This window comes from Homo sapiens, chromosome X (assembly GCF_000001405.40).
Source record: "Homo sapiens chromosome X, GRCh38.p14 Primary Assembly".
Taxonomy (NCBI): domain Eukaryota; kingdom Metazoa; phylum Chordata; class Mammalia; order Primates; family Hominidae; genus Homo; species Homo sapiens.
In genome coordinates this window covers 118,878,874-118,899,951 of record NC_000023.11, presented here as the reverse complement: position 1 = coordinate 118,899,951, position 21,078 = coordinate 118,878,874, and the positions used below count along the sequence as shown (strand labels likewise).

Below are 21,078 nucleotides of genomic sequence, written 5' to 3'. Positions count from 1 at the left end.
TTGTACCTATTGTGTGTGTGTGTGTGTGTGTGTGTGTGTGTGTGTGTGTGTAGGACTGGCTCTAGAATCACATGGAGGCTCCTGGGCAAGAACCATATACATGTACAGAAGTCAGCTGGCTTCTTCTGTCCTGTAAGTTTCCCCAATTGGTGAGAGAAGTGATCTAAGAATAGTTCAGGCAGCCCAAGATGCTGATTTCTGGTTTCAAAACTCTATAATGAGGGTGGAATAATACACATTGGAGAAGACTCCAAAAGGTAGGAGGGTGGGAGGTTGGTGAAGGATGAGAAAGTACCTATTGGATACAATGTATACAATTCGGGTGATGGGTACACTAAAAGCCCAGACTTCATCAACTATGCAGTATAACTGATAGAGTTTGTATATTTGTCCTCACCCAAATCTCATGTTGAAATCTAATCCCCAGTGTTAGAGGTGGGGCCTGGTGGGAGGTGTTTGGATCATGGGGACAGATCCCTCGTGAATGGCTTGGGCCACCCCCTTGGTGATAAGTGGGCTCTCACTCTGAGTTCACATGAGATCTGGTCATTTAAAAGTGTGTGGTGGCGCTCTCTTCTCTCTCTCTCTGTCTCTCCACACACATACACACTTCCCTCTCTCTGCCCTGGCCACCCCATTCTCACCATGTGATGTGCCGGCTCCTGCTTTGCCTTCCAACATGATTGGAAGCTTCCTGAGGCCTCCCCAGAAGTAGATGCCACTATGCTTCCTGTACAGCCTGCAGAACCATAAGCCAATTAAATCTCTTTTCTTGTAAATTACCCAGCCTCAGGTATTTCTTTATAGCAATACAAAATTGACCCCGTCCCAAAAAAAAGCCTCTCAAAACTCAAACAATCCGATTAGAAAATGAGCAAAATATATGAATAGATATTTCACCAAAAAGGATATATAGATTGCAAACACACGACAAAGATGCTCAATCAACATCATTAGCCATAAGGGAAATGCAAATTAAAATCACAATGAGATATCACTAAACACCTATCAGAATAGCTAAAATTAAAAAACAGTTAACAACACACATGCTGGCAAATAAGCAGAAAAACTGTATCATTCATACATTGTTGGCATTCTTCAACAGATTAATGATTAAACAAATTATAATTCATCCATGCCATGGAATACTATGCAGCAATAACAAGAAATCAGGGGCCAGACACAGTGGCTCAAGCTTATAATCCAAGCACTTTGGGAGGCTGAGGAAGGAGGATTGCTTGAGCCCAGGGGTTCAAGATCAGCCTGGGCAACATAGTGAGACACTGTCTCTACAAAAAAATTAAAAATTAGCTGGGTGTGGTAGCACATGCTTGTAGTCCCAGCTAATCAGAAGGCTGAGGTAGGAGGATCGCTTGAGTGAGTTCAAAGCTGCAGTGAGCCGTGATCACATCACTGCACTCCAGCTTGGGTGACAGAATGAGACTGTCTCAAAAAAGAAAAAAAAAAGAAATCAGGTATTGGTTCATGCAATAACTTGAATGAACTCCTGGGAATTTTGCTTAGTGAAAAAAAGCCAATCTTAAAAGGTTATAAACTGTATGATTATTTACATAACACTCTTGACAAAAATATAGAGATAGGGAACAGATTAGTGGGTACCAGGCATTAGGGAATGGAGCATATAGGAGGTAGGCATGGCAGCCCAGTGCGGTGGCTCATGCCTGTAATCCCAGCACTTTGGGAGGCCGAGGGAGTGGATCACCTGAGATCAGGAGTTTGAGACCAGCCTGGCCAACATGTGAAACCCTGTCTCTACTAAAAATACAAAAATTAGCTGGTCTTGGTGGCAGGTGCCTGTAATCCCAGCTACTCAGGAGGCTGAGGCAGGAGAATTGCTTGAACCTGGGAGGCAGAGGTTGCAGTTAGCCAAGATTGCACCACTGCACTCAAGCCCGGATGACAAGGTTGAAACTCCATCTCAAAAAAAAAAAAAAAAAAAGAGATAGGCATGGCTACAAAAGATTCCTTGTGGTGAAAGTACGTTTCTGTACTGTGTTGGTGGATACATGAACTACAAGTGCTACAACTGCATAAAACTTCTAGTGAAAAAGATCTGTTATTTTTTTTTAAAATGCATATAATGAAATACATAGAACACATAAACAGAAACAAATGATTACAGGTAAAACTTGGGAAATCTGGACAAGAGTAATAGGTTGTAGCAACGTCCTGGTTGTGATACTATAGTACAGTAAATAAGATGTCACCACTGAGAAAAACTGGATAAAGGGTACATAATATCTCAATGTGCCGTTTCTGACAATTGCATGTGAACCTACAGTCATCTCAAAATAGAAAGTTTAATTTTTTAAAAAAAGATAAAAACAAAAAAATTGGGGCCTTGAACATTTTCTGGCTCATTGTGCAGGCATGAAACTCATTGGCCATCTGGCTACCAGGCTGGATAGTTACAAAGAAGAATGACTTCCCAAACCTGAGTATGTAGCACCTTAGGGCCTCTGGTAATCCAAAGAAGAATTGTTTGCCTTCTGGAAATTCTCAGTAACCAAGTTTAATTGAACATCACTTTAATGAAAAAACCAAGCCTTTGCTATATAAATCTTCATACCAGGAGACAGCACTAGGAAATCAAAATAGGGTGTGTTAATCTATCCCCACCCCAGAGGCAGGGTTTTGCTCTATCTCCCAGGCTGGAGTGTGGTGGTACCTCCTGCCTCGACCTCCTGGGCTCAAGCAATTCTCCTGCCTCAGTCTCCCGAGTAGCTGGGACTACAGGCACGCGCCACCACACCCAGCTAATTTTTATATATTTTTTTTTTGTAGAGAGGTGGTCTTGCCATGTTGCCCAGGCTGGTCGCCAACCCCTGGGTTCCAGTGATCCAACTGCCTTGGCCTCCCAAAGTGCTGGGATTACAGGCGTGAGCCACTATGCCTGGCCCAAAAGTTCTTTATATATCCTAGATACGAGTTCTTTGTTGGGTATGTAGCTTGCAAATATTTTCTCTCAGTCTATAGCTTGTCTTTTCATTCTCTTAATAGGACCTTTCATAGATCAAAGCTTTTAATTTTTTATGAAGCCCAATTTAATGTAGTTTTTCTTACATGGATAACCCCTAGACAGTGTCAAACCTAAGAACACTTTGCTAGGCCCTAAATCATGAAGATTTTCTCCTGTGGTTTTGTTTTTTCTCTAAAATGTTTTATAGTTGTATGCTTTACATTTAAGTCTGTGATCCATTTTGAGTTATTTTTGTATAAGGTGGGATGTTTAGGTAAAAGTTCACTTTTTTGGCCTATGGATGTCAATTCTCCTGAACTGTTTGTTGAAAACGCTATCCTTCCTTAAGTTGCTTTTATACCTTTGTCAAAAATCGTTTGAGCAAGTTTGCATTGCTATATTTCTGGGTTTTTTGTTCCACTGATCTATGTGTCTACTCTCTGTCATTACCATACTCTCTTTTTTTTCTTTTTATTTGTACAATATTGGGGTACATGTGCAATTTTATCATATGCATAGATTGCACAGAGGCCAAGTTAGTTAGGGCTTTGAGTGTATCCATCACATGAATAACATATATTGTACCCATTAGCCAATTTCTCATCATCCTCCTCCCTTCCACCCCTCACTCTTCCAAGTCTGCAATGATCTATCATTTCCACTGTCTATATCCGTGTACCACAGTATCTTGATTACTATAGCCATATATGGTAACCCTTTATATTGGGAAGAGTGATTCCCTCCAATTTATTCTTTATAAAAATCACTTTAGCTACTCTAGGTCCTTTGCCTTTCCATGTAAATTTTAGAAGAAGCTTTTCTATGTCTATAAAGATCCTTGCTGAGATTTTGATAGGAATTTCATTAGCCTATAGATCAATTTGGGGATAATTGATATCTTTACTATGTTGTCTTTTAACCCACACAGTATGTCTCTGCAATTATTAAGGTCTTCTTTGAGTTCTTTCCTCAGTGTTTTATAATTTCCAACATACAGATCCTTTCATGTTTTGTTAAATTTATACTTGCTCTTTGGCACAAGGATGAATGGCATTGTGTTCTTTATTTAGATTTCCACATTGTTAGTATATATATGTGATTGATTTTTGTGTGTTTATCTGGTATCATATGACCTTACTGAATTCAGTGAATAGTTCTACGAGGTTTTTTTGTTTTATTTTTTTTAAAAAAAAAAGATTCCCTGTGATTTTCTATGTAGACAATTAAGTCTTTTGAGAATCAACACAGTTTCACTTGATCCTTTCCAATCCATGTACCTTTTATTTCCTTTTCTTGTTGTGCTAGAGCTATTTTTCCCCCTTTCTTGCCATTGTACTGGATAGAACTTACAATACGATATTGAATAGAAGTAGTGAGAACAGCCAGGCACGGTTGTTCATGACTGTAGCACTCTGGGAGGCCAAGGTGGGTGGATAACCTGAGGTCACAAGTTTGAGACCAGCCTGGCCAACATGGCGAAACCCCGTCTCTACTAAAAATACAAAAATTAGCTGCACGTGGTGGTGGGCCCCTGTAGTCCCAGCTACTTGGGAGGCTGAGGCACAAGAATCACTTGAACCCAGGAGGCAGAGGTTGCAGTGAGCTGAGATCGTGCCACTGCACTCCAGCCTGGGCAACAGAGTGAGACTCCACCTGAAAAAAAAAAAAATAGTGGAAACAAACATGCTTGCCTTGTTCTGACTTGAGAAAGAACTCAGTCTTTCACCATTAAGTATAATGTTAGTTGTAGGTTTTTTGCAGATGTTCTTTATGAGATTAAGGAAGTTTTCCTCTATGCCTAGTGTACTGAGAGTTTTTAATCATGAATAAATGTTGAACTTTAAGCTGGGTGTGGTGGCTCATGCCTGTAATCCCAGCAATTTTGGGAGGCTGAGGTGGGCAGATTGCCTGAGCTCAGGAGTTCGAGACAAACCTGGACAACACAGTGGAACCTTGTCTCTACAAAAAAATACAAAAAATTAGCCAGGCATGATGGCACACACCTACAGTACCAGCTACTGGGGGACTGAGGAGGGAGGATCACTTGGGCCCAGGAGGTTGAGGCTGCAGTGAACCATGTTTGTGCCACTGCACTCCAGCCTGCGTAACAAAGCGAGACCCTGTCTCAAAAAAAAAAAAAAGTTTGAATGTTATCATCAAATGCTTTTTCTGTGCCAGTTGATATGGTTAAATGATTTTAGTCTGCTGATATGGTGGATTACATTGATTAACTTTAAAATATTGAACTATGCATACATGGGAATAAATCCCAGAGTATAATTCTTTTCTACATTGTTGGGTTCATTTGGCTATTATTTTGCGGCAGTTTCTGTGTCTAAGTCCATGAAAGATATTCATTCATCTATAGTTTTCTTGCTTTGTACTGTCTTTGGTTTTGGTATCCTTCTGGGAATCTGATTATATGAATGTTGGATCTTTTGTTATTTCTAACAGGTCCCTGAGGCCCTATCTTTTTTTTCAGTCTATTTTCTCTCTGTTGTTCAGGCTGGGTAAATTCTATTGATCTATAAACAAGTTTACTGATTTTGTCCTCTGCCATCTCTGCTCTATAATTGATCCTATCCAGCAATTTTTAAAAATCTATTTTTCAGTTCTGTAATTTTCATTTGGTTCTTTAGAAAATGTGAACAGGTGTTTTAATCATGTATAAAATGCCTGATTATGTATGAATTTGAAGGAAGAAGAGATCAAAGGATTCCTGGAAGAAGGTGTGTCAGAAGGGGCCTTCAAGTAAAGAGGCACAGACTATCCCTGCCTAGGGCTGCTCTGAGCATCTTCCCATTTCTTCCTCACAACAACCCAACAATGATTATAGCAATACTTATACCCATTTTACAGATGAGGAAACTGAGGCTCAGTCAGGTTAAATTTTTTTTTTTAGGTTAAGTTATTTAACCAAGGTCCCATTGCCAAGAAGCAAAGGAGTCAGGACTTGAATCCAAGTCTTCCTGATGCCAAAGCCCATGCTTTCACTGGTATCTGGAGGCCCAAGTTAAATACCCTGCCAAGGGGAAATCTTCCCAAACACTCCCAGAATGTGGCCACTTGTTCCTTGGGACCCCCATGTTGTTCTATCCCAGGAACTTGCTTGCCCCCACCTGCTGTGAGCTCTAGTCACATGTGTCTATGAAGGGTGTCATCACAGTATCACCTATACCTGTACCCGGCACAGGTCCTTGTAGGCTGGTAGATACCCCAGGTGTCTACTGAGGGAACTTTAACCCAATTAAACCTGAGATCTCAAAAATGCCCTTAGTGGAGGGCTGCTGTGAGGATTCCATGAATGGATGATCACAAAGAGATCTAGTTCAGTGTTTGGCACACAGTAAGTACTCACTGCAAGGAAGGGTTGCCATTGGGCTGTTTATTGTTATTTGTATTTGACCAGCCTCCCTTCCTGGATTTGAAGTAGTTCCTATTCCCAGAAAGAGGCAGATAAGAGATAGTCACACAGCCACATGAAGGTCAAAACCAAGTTTCCCAATTCTGGACTCCCCAGGAAGTGCTCAATGCCCCTCAGAAAACTACTCAGTCAAGGTTCAGGTCTGTGTCCTTTGATAACATAAGAGCCCCTTGTGATGAAATAATTCAGCTGCAGCTCCATCACAGAACCACACATGTATTTCCCATCTTAACTTGTCCTTGCCCTACTCCACGTTCTTAATCAGAGACTGAATGTACCATGTCAGACTGGCCTGGAGTATATTTGATTCTTTTGTATAACTTCTATTGCTATGCTAAGATTTTATATTTTTTCCATTTATTTCAAGAGACTTTGCAATTACTTATTAAAGCATTTTTGTGGTGGCTACATTAAATCCCTTGTCAGATAATTTCAACATCTAATTCATCTTGGTGTTGGTATCAGTTGATTGTTTTAGGGTGATTTTTATCATATTCTGGATATGTTGACTATTATATTAGAAGACTCTAATTCCTACTTAAATATTTGATTTTAGCAGGCAGTCAGTTTGTTTAGGTTTAGCATGCAGGTCCTGGCCTACTTTTGAAGGCTGTGATTCCAATGACAATTTAGTTTCAGAGCCTCTGTAGTGCTATTTTGATCTGCTTGATTCATGTGGTGCTAATGGGTCCACTCTTCCCTGCTGGTGCTGCCTGAGGAAGCAGAGTGTTCCTCAGATAGGGTTGCCTGGTGCCTCTAGGTGGGGGAAGTGATTTTTCTAGTCTGTGGAAACAAAGAATCTTCCTTGTCTCTGCTGGTTCTGGTGGGACTCCCCTGACTTTGCTGCCTGCCTTCCTGGTATCTCTCAGAGGAAGAGAGAAGCCTCAAGACCATGAAAACAAACAGGCTTCCTGGGCTAGGCTACTTGTCATGGTCACGTTTCCCCTTGATGGTGTGCTTGCTTGGAGAGTATCTTTCAGTGGGGTAGGGGAGTCTCTGACCTTGTGGGAAAGGACAGCACTTCTGCTGGCTGCTTATTGTCAGTGAGGCACCTTGCTAAATCCCACTTGCTGGAGTTGCCAGGCTTACCTGTTGGTGTCAGTAGGACTCCCATTCAATGCAGAGGAGAAAGGAACCTACAGGAACCATTTTCTATTGCTACGTTGGGGTTTGGGAAATGCTGGGCCTGGGTCACATTTATGGCTTGAGAGTCATAAGGTACCCTGCTACTATGGTGTTCCTCCAGTCCTGGGATTCCTAATCGTTCTGCCTTCCCCTTTACACCTTTTAGAATTCTCCTGTGGCCACCTCTTGAATTATTTCCAGGATTTCTGGTTGGGCTTACCTGGGAGAAGCAGGGAGAAATGAGTCTATGCTATCTTGTCCAGACTGGAAGTGGAAGACCAATCCTGCATTGGTGTCTGCTGCTTCTTCTCCTAGGAATGATTCAGACTTTCATTTATCATCCTTTTTTGGGGGGCAAAGAGAAGCTCAGAAGGCTTTGCTTTGGTTAATATATCGAGCCCCCAGTTTTTTGTTTATGGGTGCATCCATATCCCTATGTGTGTGTGTGTGTGTGTGTGTGTGTGTGTGTGTGTGTGTGTGTGTTTGAGAAGAAAAGTTGGCAGAGATTAGCCCTGAAATAACTGTATTACAGTAGCCAAACACTCTGATAGGATATTGAGTTAGCTGTGGATTTGTCTTGCTGATAAGATACTCCTATACCACTATACTCACAGAATCATATTTTGAAGGTCAGAACAATCATATTTTGGTATTTCCATATAGGCGAAAGGCAGAAAATGTGAGAAACACATTCACCCGTCCAAACCCAAAGAATAGACTCAGAGACACGAAGAACAGTGGAAGCGAGACTTTTAATGGCGGTCTTACAAAATCGGGTGTCTGGTAGGCAGGCACACCTGGGGCAGTTACAGCAGGTAATTTATCTCTTGCATGCAAGTCCCTCCCCCAGTTCCTCATTGGTCAAGTACTATGGGGTTACAATAGTCCCAGATATCACCTAAGTTTCATTATCTTTTATAAGATTATACCCCAGTCCCCTACCCCACTTACATTTCGATTTCCCAATAACAAAACTTTCTTCCCTTTTATGGGCTGACCCCTGCTCTACATTCTGTTTCCTTATCATGACTTTCTAGGTACATGAGCCATGTGGTTTGTCATGTCCACAGGCTGGTTGCCAGTACATAGATTTATCATGCCTTGAAAATTGACCATGTAAAATGTTTTCTCACAAATTCCCTCCTCTTTTTTATTTACTTCCTTTGGTCTCATTTTCATCTAAACCCTTTTGGTCCTCCAATCACTCTAGAAGTTGTCTACTTTCTTCCTTATAGGAGAGTGAGTTTAATTTGGTTTCTAATAGTAGCAGGTTATTTTGCTGGTAAGTCATTGGCATTTGTTTATTAATAGCTGTTTCAATTAATCTCTGTGCTACTCCCTTCACACAAGGGATAATACAACATCCCACTGCTGTTAAGACTCCTGCCACAATTATGAGAGATGTAAGGATTGAAGCTACCATGTCTTTCCATTTTCCAAACCAACCTTCTAGCCAGTCTGTAAATGGGTCAATTCCAGCATTTTCTGCCAGTTTATTGGCTACAGTTGTCAGTCCTTGTAAAACTTTGGTGATGGTCCCATCTGGGGCAATATTGTTGGGAATGAAAGTACAACATTTCCCATCTAGCATAACACATACACCCCCTTTTTCTGCTAGTATCATGTCTAGCACAAGTCTGTTTCCCAGGCCATTTGGCTGGTGGCATCAAACTCGCTAGCCACCTCTTTGAGGGCGTCCTGAGTACAATTGATGAATCTCTGTTGATTATAACAGATATAGTTAATCCAATCCACATTCTTATTAATAATTGATCACCAAAAGAGTGCTGACTCAAACCCAGCAGCTATTTGGCTTCAGGCCTTAAATTCATTAGGCACCCCCTTGGGGACTCCTGTCGAGTCAATATATATATTGGGATCAAAAGAATTTGTCAAATCTGTCTGGTTTTGGTGGCCATGTGTATTTTCGGGTATCTTATGGAATGCCAGGGTGAAAGGAATGGCCAATTGGACTAAAGCACAAGTCCTGGTCCAGTTGGACAGTAACTAACAGGTTATGGAGGTCCCCTTTCCCACAATACCACCAGACAACAGCCCAGAGTATATGGAGAGCTGAGTAATTGCCATTGCCTGACTCAGCAGTGACAATTAGGATGTGGGTACAAGTACGAGAGTTCTCCCACGGGCTTATTGAACTCTGCCCCCTGCCTAGAGAGACAAGAGGAGTGGTTCATATTCCCTATAGAGAATGAGGGGATTGCTCTGGGATCTGACCACCACAATGCAGGAAAGAACAATGACAGGCTCTTACAAGTCTCATTTCCCATGCATCTTTGTCCTGGTATAGAGCCAACATGCAATGCATGCCTTCAGGATCGGTATCCCATCCTAGGGGAAATGGAATCACCTGGGCCTGAGGTCGTCCCGCAGCACGCACATAGCAATTACTTTCTTTTTTGAGACGGACTCTCGCTCTGTCACCCAGGCTGGAGTGCGGTGGCATGATCTCGGCTCACTGTAAACTCCGCCTCCCGGGTTCAAGCGATTCTCCTGCCTCAGCCTCAGCCTCATCCTCACGAGTAGCTATGATTACAGGCACGTGCCACCACGCCTGGCTAATTTTTTGTATTTTTAGTAGGGACGGGGTTTCACTGTGTTAGCCAGGATGGTCTCGATCTCCTGACCTCGTGATCTGCCTGCCCCAGCCTCCCAAAGTGTTGGGATTACAGGCGTGAGCCACTGCGCCCAGCCAGCAATTACTCTTGTTGAGGGCTTGTACTGAAAATTTGAACCAGGCATTCACATCCCTGTACCCTGTCTCAATTTCTAAAGTTTGCCTTAAATCCTTTACCTCAATTATTTCTACCCTTTTAGGGTCATTACTTGGTTAACTATTTCCACCAATAACAGCATAACCATTATGTCTCTTGCCATTTGTCACTTGGGAAAACTCATCCACAAACAGCCTTATCCCATCATGTAGTGGAGCTTCCTTAAGGTCTGGTCTAACTTTGATTTGGTATTCTATGATATCTAAGCAGTTATGGTCTGATGTCTCTTTGTTCTTCTCTCCTTTCCATAGGAAACTGGCTGGATTCAGGCAAGTATCTGTTGTTACAGCCAAATTATCTTTTTCTAGTGACATGGCTTCATATTTTTGAATCCAAGAATCCATTAACCACCTCCTGGCTTTTTGATTTAATATATTCCTGACTTGGTGTGGGTGCTTACTATTAGGGCCCCACCAAAGTTAGCTTTTGACTCTACCAGCAGGGCTGTGGCAGCTACTGCTTGCACACATTCAGGCCACCCCCGAGAGACAGGCTCAAGAAGCTTGGAGACAAAAGCAACAGGTTGCCTCTTCCCTCCCCCGGTATGAGTGAGCACTCCAAGGCCAAACTCTGGTCTACTGTTACAAACAGATGGAATGGTTTCTCTAAAGATGGGAGGGCCAGGACCGGGGCAGTAATGAGGGCCTGCTTTAGCTCTTTCACTACCTGAATTTCCTATGGGGATCATTGCATGGGATCGGGTTCCTCTTCTAGTAACTTGAGATACAGAATTTTTGTCTTTTGAGCATATGAGTCAATTCACAACCTGCAGTAGCCAGTTGAACCTAAAAATTTTCGGAGTTCTCTCTGTCTTAGGCAAAGGCAGGCCCACTATTCCAGATATTCTCTCTGGGTTTATTCTCCACTTCCCTTCACTAATCAGGTGTCCTAAATATTTAACTTCTTTTTCTACAAACTGCAATTTGTTCTTAGAGACTTGCAATCCCCTTTCTCCTAGGAAATTAAGCAAGCTTATGGTGGTTTCTGATACCTCGGCCCTCCTCTCCCCAGAAATTAAAAGATTATCTACATATTGTAATGACTGGGTTCCCCTGGAAGGTTGGAATTCCTCCCGGACTTTTTCTATTATTTGACCAAATACATTTGGGGCTGCCATGAAACCTTGTGGCAGCACAGTCTAGCAGTCCTGTTGTTTTCTCCCAGTTATAGGATTTTCTTATTCAAAGACAAAGAGGTCCCTGCTCCTAAGATCTAGGGGACATGCCCAGAATACATCTTTTAGACCCACCACACTGAATCACTTATGTTCATAGAGTATCTTATTAAGGAGGGCGTAGGGGTTAGGTGCCACAGGATGGTGGGTCTGGACAATTTGATTCATAGTCCCTAGATCTTGCACCAATCTATAGAACCCATCAGGCTTTTTGACTGGGAAAATTGGAGTATTGTATAGTGACATGCAGGGTTCTAATAGTCCATCTTTAATCAATCCCTCTATTACCAGTTGGAGATCTTTTCTCCCTTCAGTAGAAATGGGATATTGTTTTCTTTTTCTTTCTTTTTTCTTTCTTTTTTTTTTTTTGAAACGGAGTCTCACTCTGTTGCCAGGCTGAAGTGCAGTGACATGATCTCAGCTCACTGCAACCTCCGCCTCCTAGGTTCAAGTGATTCTCCTGCCTCAGCCTCCTGAGAAGCCGGGGCTACAGGTGTGTGCCACCATGCCGAGATAATTTTTGTATTTTTAGTAGAGACGGGGTTTCACCATGTTGGTCAGGATGGTCTCGATCTCTTGACCTCATGATACGCCCACCTCAGTCTCCCAAAATGCTGGGATTACAGGCGTGAGCCACTGTGCCTGGCCTGTTTTCTGAAAACTACTTCTCCTGGTTGTTTTAGTTTAATCTGTAAGGGTGTGATTTTTAACCCTCCCCTGTTGCCTTCCCTAATCCACACAAGGGGATTAATTTTTCTTTCCTCTTGCTTTGTTAGGAGGCCCATCATTACTTTTATTTGTCCTTCCTCTATTCCTAATCCTAAACCCAATCTCACAATCAGGTCTTGACCAAGGAGGTTAGTTCCTGCTTCAGGAACATATAAGAGTCACACCTCAATTTGTTCAGGTCCCAATCTAATTAACATTTCCTTGAATATCAGAACCTGAAATCCCTCCCCTTTTACCCCGATACTGTCAATTTTTTCTTAGAGACTTCTGTACCCCTTGGTTGGTGAATTAGGGAGGAGCAAGCCACCCCAGTATCAACCAAAACTGTCACTTCTTCTCCCTCGGGTCCCACCTTCACATTTATCAGCGGTTCCTGGAGGGTCCTACTCAGAAGGAACCCCTGGCCCCCCTTGTCTTCATCAACCGTCATGAAGGGGATCATTTTTTCTTCTTTTTTCCATTCAGGACATTCTCTCTTAAAATGCCCTGGTTTTCCGCACTTGTAACATCAACTCATAGTCTTAGGAGCTTTTCCCTTCTTCCTCTGTGTCAAAATCTATTATCCCATTGTTTCCTTCAAGAGGGATCTTGATCTAACCTTCTTCTGACTACCTTTTCCACAGTGGAAACCATGATTCTCGCTTTTTGTTTCTGCTTCTCTTCCTCTCTCCTTACAAAGACCTTCTGAGCTTCCCTCAGTAATTCTTCAACTGGTTTCTCATTCCATTCATTACTCTTTTGTAATTTTTTTGTAATGTCAGGCCAGCTCTTAGTTACAAAGTTAACCTTCAAAAGGCCTTGCCCTACTGGGTCCTCCAGATCTAATCTAGAGTATTTTCTCAGGAACCTCTGCAGGAATGCAGAGGGAGTTTCCTCATTTTCTTGTTGAATCTTGAATGCCTTTGAGACATTTTGTGTCCTAGGAGTGGACTCTTTGATCCCTTTAATTATTAGTTCCCTGAGGTCCTGCATTTGGGTCCAGTCCCTGGGATCATTATTATCCCATTTAGGATCGACATTTGGAAATTTTTGTTTGGTTGGCAAGACTCCTTGCCTGGGAGGGTGTTGCCTCTCCCAGATGGTCATGGCTGCTCTCCTAATCATTCCCCTTTCTTCTCCTGTGAACAGAATATTCATGATAGACATCATTTCAGCCCAGGTGTAAAAGCTGGTTCCTAGGAATTGGTCCAGCTGGTCTGCTAAACCGAGGGGATCTTCTAGGCGTGGTTTCATTTCCTTCTTGAAATTCCTAACTTCAGAACTTGTAAGAGGAGCATTTACAAAGCCAGTCTCTCCCTGTCCCATGGGAACTTCTCTAAGAGGGAGCATGCTAGATGCCTGCTGTGTGGACAGGATAAGGAAGTTCTTAATATCCCTCTTACACTGTTCTTTTTCTTAAATTTGGATGAGGACTTAAAGGAGCAATTGGTTTGGTTCCCCCATGGTCTCCAGGTCTTTCTTCCTCTAACCCTCCTGTTGCCCCCTTGATCTTCCTGTCCCCTATTTTGTGAGCTGTATGGAGGGGCAAGCATGATAGGGGGTCCCAGGGCTTTTCACTGGGCAAGAGCTTTTTACTAGGCTCTTTTTCTTCTTCTTTGATGGGGAACGTGGGGGTTAATTCTTTGATCCAGCAGAGAGCATAACCTATCTCTTCTTGTGAGGATGGTTTTTGTTTTTTGTTTTGTTTTATTTTGTTTTGTTTTGTTTTAGTGGAGTCTTGCTCTGTCGCCCAGGCTGGAGTGCAGTGGTGCGATCTCAGCTCACTGCAAGCTCCGCCTCCCGGGTTCACGCCATTCTCCTGCCTCAGCCTCCCAAGTAGCTGGGACTACAGGCGCCCACCACCACACCTGGCTAATTTTTTGTATTTTTAGTAGAGATGGGGTTTCATTGTGTTAGCCAGGATGGTCTCGATCTCCTGACATCGTGATCCACCCACCTCGGCCTCCCAAAGTGCTGGGACCACAGGCGTAAGCCACCGTGCCCGGCCTAGAATGGGGTTTTATCATTCACATAGAGAATTAAAGCTTGGCACACCCAGTTCTCATCTGAGCCAAACTTAAATCAAAAGACTGAAGGCTTGCGAATGGGGTCTTTGGGACAGGTAAAACAGCAATACTTTATCATCTTTTCCTTTTCCTTGTCCCTGGTTCAAGGGTTGTCCCTCCAAACCTGCAGCATTCTCCTTAAAGGACTATCCGGGGGAATGTCAGAGGGAGTCTCTTTGGCTCCCTCTTTCCTTTGTCCCCTAGGCCTAGAATTTCTGTTTCCCATTTTCGTCAATCTGTGTCTGAGTTTTTCCCTGTGTACTCAAGCCCCCCACTAGAGGTTTCTTGCACACACCGAGAATCATTTCATCCGTCTCTGGCTGTTCCCCTCGCGAGAGAACAGAACCGCAAATTGGGTCTCCACACTTGCTTCATACCTAGGATACGTCTCAGTCACACACACTCGACCTCCAAAAATGCCCAACCACCAAGACAATACTCACAGTCCAATTTTCCTACCTTGGCTCGTACATGAGGTTGCCTGGTTGCCACGGTGCCTGCTTTTCTCCCTGTGTCACCTCCACTGCCTCCTGAATAACAGTCTCAGGTTTGTCTATGGCCTCTGCAGGGAGCCGGGATTCCCAGACAGAGCAGGCCACTTAAATCAGGTGGGACGCCTCTCCCCTCTTGGCTGGAGTCCAACTCCACGCAGGCACAGAGATCCCAGATGGGCCCCCAAGTTTGTGAGAAACACATTCATCTGTCCAAACCCAAAGAATGGACTCAGAGACACAAAAGAACAATGGAAGAGAGAATTTTAATGGTGATCGTGCAAGAATGGGTGTCTGGTAGGCAGGCACAGCTGGGGCAGCTACAGCAGGTAATTTATCTCCTAGCACGCAAGTCCCTCCCCCAGTTCCTCATTGGTCAAATACTGTGGGGTTACAATCTTTCTGGACGTCACCTAAGTTTCATTATCCCTTATAAGGTTATAACCCAGTCCCCTTCCCTGCTTAAGTTTCGATTTTCCAATAACTCTGTAAACTTTTTCTTCCCTTTTATAGGCTGACTCCTCCTCTACATTCTGTTTGCTTATTGCGACTTTCTAGGTGCATGAGCTGTGCGGTTTGTCACGTCCGCAGGCTGGCTGCCAGTACTTAGATTTATCATACCTTGAAAATGGACCATTTAAAATGTTTTCTCACAGAAAATAAGATTTTAAAACATTATCCTCCCTTTATATAAAACCTTGGGATATCAGCATACTCTGTGCTGGACCAGCATACTCTGGTCCTGGAAAATAAGGACCACTGGATCACTGTCCATCACAGGAAAACAAAATGCCACTGTAGAAAACTGTCTGTGGCAGGCTGAATAGTGGTCCTCACAACATACCGGTATAACATAATGGTAAAATGCTGAAAGGGACTTTGCAGGTGTGATTAAGTTAATATTCTTGAAATGAGATGATTGCTCTGGATTAGCCAAGGCGACCTAATCTTTATTACGGACTCTTCATAAAAGAGGCAGGAAGGTCAGAGTCAGAGAAGGTCACGTGACTATGGAGGCGGAGGTCAGAGAGTCACAGAGAGACTTGAAGATGCTACGCTGCAGGCTTTGAAGACGGAGGAAGGAGCTATGAACTAAGGAATGTAGGCAGCATCTAGAAGCTGGAAAATGGCTGATTTTGAACTTCAATCTCCAAAACTGTATTGCCTTAGTTGGTTTTGTGTGGCTATAAAGGAACACCTGAGACTGGGTAATTTATAAATAAAAGAGGTTGATTTGCCTCACAGTTCTGCAGGCTGTATAAGCAGCAAGCAGCATGATGCCAGCATCTGCTTCTGGTGAGAACCTCAGGAAGCTTCTAATCATGGCAGATGGCAAAGGGTGAGCAGGCATGTCACATGGTGAGGGGGGAGTGATAGAGAGAGGGGAGGCATGCTATGTACTTGTAAACAACTAGATCTCCTGTAAACTAATAGAGTGAGAACTCATTCATTATCATGGGGACAGCACCAAGCTATTCAAGAGGGATCAACCCCCATAACCTAAACACCTCCCAGTGGGCTCCACCTCCAACATTAGGGGTCACATTTCAACATGAGATTTGAAGGGGACAAATATCAAAACTATGTCATATGTGATAATAAATTTATGTTGTTTTAAGCCACTAAACTTGTGATGATTTGTTATAGTAGCCATAGGAAATTAATACTAATAGAGAGCAAATGACAATGATCAGGGGTTGGAAATCAGAGAGTGTTGGAGAATAGTATGAGCATGGTTGCTTGTACAAGGATGCACTTAAACCATGAGACTCTAGTTTGGAAACAAGAAGCCTGAGAAGAGACTGGCTCAATGTCTAAACCATTGCTGCTCTATAGAACTTTATTTGATGATGAAAGTGTTCTACATCTGCACTTTCCAATAGGGTAGCCAGTAGCCACATGTGACTACTAAGCACTTGAAATGTGGCTAGTACAATAAGGGAATTTTTTCTTTCTTTTTTTTTTTTTGAGATGGAGTCTTGCTCTGTCACCCAGGTTGAAGTGCAGTGGCGGATTTCGGCTACTGCAAACCTCTGCCTCCTGGGTTCAAGGAATTCTCCTGCCTCAGCCTCCCGAGTAGCTGGGATTACAGGTGTGTACCACCACGCCCAGCTAATTTTTGTATTTTTAGTGGAAACGGGGTTTCACCATGTTGGCCAGGCTGGTCTTGAACTCCTGACCTCAAATGATCCACCCACTTTGGCCTTCTGAAGTGCTGGGATTACAGGCATGAACCACCATGCCCAGCCTACTCTTAATTAATGTATATTTAAATTTAAAAATCTACATGTAGCTAATGGCTACTGTATTAGACAGACAGTTTTCTACCATTAAAAAGAATGTGGATAGGGTGACTATGAACTTATTCATTAAAGTGTTCAATGCTAGAAAACTAGCTTGCCAAAAATAGTCTATGCCAAATTAAAGAAGTACCAGCACTTCTCTAGAGATCAGATTTCTTATAATCTCTGCCATAATATAACTAAAAACCTAGATGAGAAAAAAGCATCTAAGCAGCATGTAAAATTGCTGTCATAAAACCCATGAACTTCACTTCATAGGAGATGCATGGAGTCAGTCCTTAGTCAAACAGCTACACATTAGAAGAACCAAGAATACGTTGATCTCAGAACTTCTTCAAAAGCACAAAAATCCGGAACACACTTAGGGAAAAGACATAAGGAAAGACATATTGCTACATGCCTCAGAGGTCCAGGTCAAAAGCAGATGATCATAATGGCCACCCTGAGTCACAAGACAAGGTTATATTATGTTCTGAATCATCTGTTTAAGAAGGCAAAGCAGGCCAGGTGCAGTGGCTTACGCCTGTAATCCCAGCACTTTGGGAGGCTGAGGTGGGTGGGTTACTTGAGGTCAGGAGTTCGAGATCAGCCTGGTCAACATGGTGAAACCCCATCTCTAATAAAAACACAAAAATTAGCTGGGCATGGTAGTGGGCATCTGTAATCCCAGCTACTCAGAAGGTTGAGGAACAAGAATCACTGGAACCCAGGAGGTAGAGACTGCAGTGAGCCGAGATTGCCACTGTACTCTAGCCTGAGCAACAGAATGAGACTCTGTCTCAAAAAAAAAGAAGACAAAGTAGTGAATAACTCAGTATTAAAAAAAAAAAACTCAACAGAGGGAATGGGTAAATGCAAAACCAAACAGTTACCTTTCCACTTTCATGTAAAATCCCTTGTTTTAGGGTTCTAGCCACTATGCTATGCCATCCACTCCAGCTCCTTGTTAGTCACTTATGCACCAGGATTGATCTGAACCAGGTTTGATAAATTATTTCAAATCCTTTCTCACCATTACCATCCAAATCCTTCTCACTTGCCACGCAACTTCCAAATCTGGATCAATTGAATTGATCCACCACCATTGTTTCTATTTCCAGACTGCTGCGCCCTGGTGGAAGAAATAACACAATGATATAGGCAGGAATATCTTGAAAAGCATGGTTTCTGTGGAATATTATGCAGCAGTTAAATATGTAAGATATCAGCTGGGCGTGGTGGCTCACGTCTGCAATCCCAGCACTTTGGGAGGCCCAGGTGGGCAGATCACCTGAGGTCAGGAGTTTGAGACCAGCCTGGCCAACATGGCAAAACCCCGTCTCTACTAAAAATACAAAAATCAGCCAGGCGTGGTGGCAGGAGCCTGTAATCCCAGCTACTCAGGAGGCTGAGGCACGAGAATCGCTTGAACCTGGGAGGCGGAGGTTGCAGTGAGCTGAGATCGTGCCACTGCATTTCAGCCTGGGCTACAGAGTGAGACTGTCACACACACACACACATACACACACACACACAAGCTATCTATATATACTGATACAGAAAAAAATCCATACACATTAAATAAAAAAGCAAGTGAAATCACAGTCCCTAGTATGGCTATAATCAAAAGGACAGATACTAACAAGTGTTGGCAAAGATGTGGAGAAACTGGAAGCCTCATATACTGCTGGTGGGAATGTAAAATGGATCAGCCACTTTGAAAAACAATCCAGTAGTTCCTCAAAATGTTAAACACGGAGTTACCATATGACCCAGCAATCCCACTCCTAGATACACACCCAAAAGACATGAAAATATATGTCCACACAAAAACTGGAACATGAATACTCATAGCCATGTTATTTATAATAGCCAAAAAGTAGAAACTGGCTGGGTGCAGTGGCTCATGCCTGTAATCCCAAAACTTTGGGAGGCTGAGGCAGGTGGATTATGAGGTCAGGAGATGGATACCATCCTGGCCAACATGGTGAAACCCTGTCTCTACTAAAAAAAAAAAAAAAAAAAAAAAAAAAAAAAAAAACTTAGCTGGGTGTGGTGGCACGTGTCTCTAATGCCAGCTACTTGGGAGGCTGAGGAAGGAGAATCACTTGAACCAGGGAGTCGGAGGTTGCAGTGAGCCGAGATCACGCCACTGCACTCCAGCCTGGCAACAAAGTGAGAGTCCATCAAAAAATAAAATAAAAAGTAGAAACTACCCAAATGTCCAAATGACAAATAGATAAACAAAATGTAGTATATCCACACAATGGATATGCCAAGAGCAAGTTGCAAGTTTTTTGTTTTGTTTTGTTTTGTTTTATTTTGTTTGAGACAGGGTCTCACTCTGTTGTCCAGGCAGGAGTGCCATAGCACAATCATGGCTCACTGCAGCCTTGGCCTCCCAGGCTCAAGCAGTCCTCCCACCTCAGCCTCCTGGGTAGCTGTGACTATAGGAACACAATGCTACATCCAGCTAATTTTTTGTATTTTGTAGAGACAGGGTTTTGCCATGTTGCCCAGGCTGGTCTTGAACTCCTGAGCTCAAGTGATCCACCTGCCTCACCCTCCCAAAGTGTTGAAATTACAGGTGTGCACCACCATGCCTGGCCTCCAAGAGCAATTTTATTCAGCAATAAAAAGAATGAAGTTCTGATTCATGCTACAACATAAATGAACCTTGAAAACACTGTGCTAAGTAAAATAAGCCAGTCACAAAAGATCACATATTCTTCCATTAATATCAAAGTCCAGAATAGGGAAATCTATAGAGACTGAAAGTGGATTAGTGGTTGGTAAGGGTTGAAGGATAAAGAGGCGATAGCTAAAGGATACAGGGTTTCCTTCTGAGGTGATGAAAATGTTCTAAAAATTGACTATGGCAGTGGTTGCACACATCCATGAATATATTAAAAATAATTGAACTGCACACTTTAAATGTGTGAATTGTGTAGTGTGTGAATTATAGCTCAATAAAGCTGTTATTTCTTTTTTAAAAAAAAGCAAATGATAGAATAATACATGTACTATGAGCTCATTTATATAAAAACCAAAACTACATATGCATGTAATATAAACATTTGTGAATGTATGTAAATATATAGAACATGATTTGGAAGGATACCCACCCATCTGTTAGCATTGGTTGCTTTTGGGGAGAGAAGTAGGATTGCCTTCTGTAACATCACACTTTCCTGTCTCTCCTCCTACCTCCCTGGTTGTTCCTCCAAATTGCTTTGTAGGCATTCTTTCCTCTGCTCATTCCTTTATAATCCACATTTAACTCTTCAGGCTCTCCTTGAAGTGATCATATGATCACATATTTCCCATGGTTTCAACAATGCCAGTCCATATCCTGACTCATTTATTCAACAAATAATCCACTGAGCACCTGCTAAGTACTGTGCTAGTTGCTAGACATTCAGCAGGACTGAGGCAAATAAGATTGCCATGCTCATGAAATTTACATTCTAGTGGCGGTGAAGATATATAATAATAAGCAAGCCAATAAATGAACAGACAATTTCAGATAATGTTAAGTGGTAGGGAGAAAATAAAACAGGGTGAGGGGCAGGCACCATGGTCATGTTGAGCACCGCGTCTCGCACCATGCCCCAAGCCGCCATCCACTGCACAAGTCGCTCCCTGCCACCCGAGGCCCGCATGCTCGCCATGTCCCTTCCACAACCAACGCAGGCCGCCTTGGGCATCCTGGCCCGGCGCACCATGGTGCTGGGCATCATGGAGATGGGGCGCCACATGGACACATCTGCCAGCGCCACGGCCGTGCACGCTTTCCTGGAGCGTGGCCACACCGAGCTGGACATGGCCTTCATGTACAGCGATGGCCAGTCCAAAATCATCCTGGGCGGCCTGAGGCTGGGGCTGGGCGGCGGCGACTGCTGAGTGAAATTGGCCACCAAGGCCAACCCTTGAGAGGGAAAATCACTAAAGCCTGACAGTGTCTGGTCCCAGCTAGAGACGTCACTGAAGAGGCTGCAGTGTCCCCGATTGGACCTCTTCTACCTACATGCACCTG

The 21,078-nt window shown here is 43.1% G+C and overlaps 1 long non-coding RNA gene across 1 annotated transcript in view; it reads right to left on the bottom strand.

The window, feature by feature from the left end:
* Positions 1 to 17,936: 17,936 nt before the first annotated feature.
* LINC01285 (long intergenic non-protein coding RNA 1285) overlaps positions 17,937 to 21,078 on the bottom strand; it is a 42,460-nt gene continuing 39,318 nt past the window's right edge. Inside the window, exon 7 of the long non-coding RNA NR_110393.1 lies at positions 17,937 to 18,174. This is a non-coding gene — a long non-coding RNA (long intergenic non-protein coding RNA 1285). The remainder of the gene's footprint in view (positions 18,175 to 21,078) is intronic.